The sequence below is a fragment of the Homo sapiens genome, chromosome 2 (genome assembly GCF_000001405.40).
Source record: "Homo sapiens chromosome 2, GRCh38.p14 Primary Assembly".
In the NCBI taxonomy this organism is placed as follows: Eukaryota; Metazoa; Chordata; class Mammalia; order Primates; family Hominidae; genus Homo; species Homo sapiens.
This window is the reverse complement of record NC_000002.12, coordinates 129,643,687-129,647,297: the sequence shown is the minus strand read 5'-3', so window position 1 is coordinate 129,647,297 and position 3,611 is coordinate 129,643,687. Positions and strand designations below refer to the sequence as shown.

Sequence of the window (3,611 nt, the reverse complement as noted above, 5' to 3'; positions counted from 1 at the left end):
TGGGACGCAGGCAGGATGATGCCTTGAGTGACTCCACAGCCTGTTCTCTGGAGCTGACCTTGCTGAGCCAAGGTCACATGCCTGCACCCCTGCTGCTAGGGATACCAGGTTTCTGGTGTCTATCTTGCTAAGCAGCAGACCCACAGAAAGGGCTTACTCTGCTGTGGGACAGGTGTTGAGATGACTAATCTGTGTGGCGTGCTTTGTTCCATTCTTTGCCTGCTACCCAGACGGTGGCATTGCCTTCTCTCCCTCTCTTTCTCACCCGTCCCAATTTTGTGATAGTCAGTTCACATAAAAGGCCCCCTTCAAGTCTCTGCTTATTCTGCTGTCTAATAAATGTAATACTTCATGATCATACTCCCTAACTACACAGTCCTCTGTGTGTGACACAGCACCCCTTGTCACCTGGGGGACGACAGCAAAAGGAGAATGAAGCCTAGAGAAAGAGGAGTTTCTTCCAGCTGGTACCTCAAAGGCCCTGCATCAGAATCCCCTCATCTGCCACTGAACACCGCTGATGGATTCTGACAAATGAACAGCGATTTTACCGTGCTGGACTAAGAACCACAGTACTATGTAGAAAAATGGGTGCCCACAGCATTTCATGAGGACCCTTTTAGAAGTCAGGAGAACAGTCATCAGGACATTTAGTGTTGAAGAATAATTTACAAGCCATGCTGAGTTGTCCTGGTCAGCAATAAAGATTAAAAATTGCATGCTCTCCAGAAGAAAAAGAAGATAATGGCAAAGAAGATTACTTTAAATCGAACTTTTGCGGCTCCTAGGAAGAGCTGAGCCCTGGAGCACTCTGGAGCCTGGCTGAGTTGGACCGAGCCTGACAGTGGGTGTCCCAGCCAGTCTCATGCCCCTCATTCTTGCAAACATGAGAAAATGGTCTTCAGCGACTGCGCACTGTATGAGGTCAGGAGAAGGTTTCAGGAGGCCTTTGTGCAGTTGGCCAAGATGACTGTTCTGAGTGGAGCAGCCATGCTGGGTCACTGCTGTGGACATGGAGCCATGCTGAGTCACTGCTATAGACATGGAGCCATGCTGAGTCACTGCTGTGGCCACGGAGCCTTGCTGGGTCACTGCTGTGGACACAGAGCCATGCTGGGTCACTGCTGTGGACACGGAGCCATGCTGGGTCACTGCTGTGGACACGGAGCCATGCTGGGTCACTGCTGTGGACACGGAGCCATGCTGGGTCACTGCTGTGGACACGGAGCCATGCTGGGTCACTGCTGTGGACACGGAGCCTTGCTGGGTCACTGCTGTGGACAAGGAGCCATGCTGGGTCACTGCTGTGGACACGGAGCCATGCTGGGTCACTGCTGTGGACACGGAGCCATGCTGGGTCACTGCTGTGGACACGGAGCCATGCTGGGTCACTGCTGTGGACACGGAGCCATGCTGGGTCACTGCTGTAGAAATGAGATAGGTGCGGATGATTAGAGGCGTGGGCTCTCCTCTCCACTGCCAGGAAACTGCTCTACTGCATGGTCAGAATCCTCAAGACCAGGAGGTAGTGGACCTCACCCTGGTGGTGAGTGGCTTTAGGAATTTTGCTAGAATTGCTAGAAATGGTGGTGTCCTGACATTTACATTATTCTCTTGCCCTTGTTGCCACTGAGAATGGCAAGGACCCACAGAGAAGGCTTAGGATCAGACAAGGAGGGTGAGAACAGCTACCAGCTGGGCAACAGGGAGGAAGAATGGCTTCACCCTCCACACACCTGCCACACTCCTGCCAGAGTGCTGCACAACATACGTGACAGGCAAATGCATACTGATAATGTTATGATCACTAAGGACAAGCTGACTTTGAGTCCAGCTCAGTATTAGTGGATGTGACTCTAGAGTGTTGGAAGCATGGAATGGAGTTAATGTAAGAAGTCAGGGGTGGGGACACAGGGCTTCTCCAGGGAAGAGAGTCATCCACAATATCCATAATGACTGACCCAGAATGAGCACAAAAGGGAATTGAGGAAATGCTCCTACATTTGGCAAAAAGGATATTCCTGGTGAATATTGGCCTTCAGTGGTCAATTTCAGGAGATTAAAGTGGATGGAAACCCAACGTGAGAAAAATTACAATGTCCATTCACTTATGAATGTTAGGATGAAAATGGGGTAAAAAAATGATAGTAGGTGAATGAGAGTAAAATTGCTGTGTATTTTAGGCTGTCTTTCCACAGGGGGTTGACTAGATGCAGAACTCTTTATGACCTAAGATTTCACATAATGGATACAGGAAGCTGGATTTACTTCCCTTGACCCATTTATGTAGCCATCTATACAGCCCATTTCCATGGCACAGCGGGGGCTGCTGTCAGAAACCTCATACCCACTGCCTTCATAGCTTTCTTAATAAATGGTAGAAAGTGACATGCATGGATTTCAATAATAACTGAGCAAAAAGGACAAATGCAGTCAGCTCCAGCAAAAAATCCCACCCAGAGGACAAAAGGACTCTGTGATGAGATGTTGTGTTTCTTTTTTTATTGGATCCACCTGGAAAGCATCATCGTAGAGAAATGAGACCCTGCCTCGTGGTTACCTTTAGGCATTGCACTTGTATGGAAGCACTTGTGTTAAACCACACAGAGGAGCTCTGATAAAGGCAAGAAAAGACAAAGGCTAAAAAACTTTAGTGACTTTACCTTAAGCTATATCTCAAGTGATTAATAGGTAAATTTTATAAAAGATCAGTATTTCCTACATTTTTCACATTTTATGACTTTTTGCCATTACTTAAAACATGTTTCGCTATACCACACTACATTACACTGGATGAATTTCACTACACTACACTACACTACATTACACTATATGACTGGATGTCACTAAAACACCACAAAGCACAGAAGCTTACATTTTGAATAGGAAATATCCAACTCTGTAGAAAACAAAACAAGATCTCAGTATGGAGAGAGTCCTTTTCTCTTTATGCACAATGGAGTCCATGCCAGACCACAGAACATAAGACACTTTCCTTATCAACACAGAGTAAGGTATGTTATTGGAACACAGGATCTGTACATAAAAATATTTTAGTTGGCCAGGCGAGGTGGCTCATGCCTGTAATCCCAGCACTTTGGGAGGCTGAGTTGGGCTGATGGCGAGGTCGAGAGATCGAGACCATCCTGGTCAACATGCTGAAACCCTGTCTCTACTAAAAATACAAAAAGTAGCTAGGCATGGTGGCATGCACCTGTAGTCCCAGCTATTTAGGAGGCTGAGGCAGGAGAATTGCTCAAACCCGGGAGGCGGAGGTTGCAGTGAGCCAAGATCATGCCATTGCCCTCCAGTCTCGCGATAAGGCGAGACTCTATCTAAAAAAAAAAAAAGTATTTTAGTTATAAGCGACTTGTTTCATTACCTTAAAGTACCCCCTTATAAGAGGGAATAGTTGATATTCTCTTCTTTTCAACAGCCTGTTTCTACAGTTACTGGTCTATACCTCAATCCCGAACTCCACGACATCTGGGCAAAGGACAGGCAAAAGTGTATGTTTGGGACAGGAACAGGTGAACACAGGGAAGAGTGTTGACTTCTTATCTCCTCATGAAATATGGATACGTTTTTACAATTCCCTATCCATTTCTTAT

The 3,611-nt window shown here is 46.6% G+C and overlaps 1 annotated feature.

Moving 5' to 3' along the window:
* Window positions 465-1,664: an enhancer, noted in NCBI's record as "MED14-independent group 3 enhancer chr2:130403207-130404406 (GRCh37/hg19 assembly coordinates)". NCBI's record gives its function as "activates an origin of replication core promoter dependent on BRD2, BRD4, P300/CBP and CDK7 cofactors, and independent of MED14, by STARR-seq in HCT116 cells {active_cell/tissue: HCT116}" and the evidence as "EXISTENCE:reporter gene assay evidence [ECO:0000049][PMID:35650434]".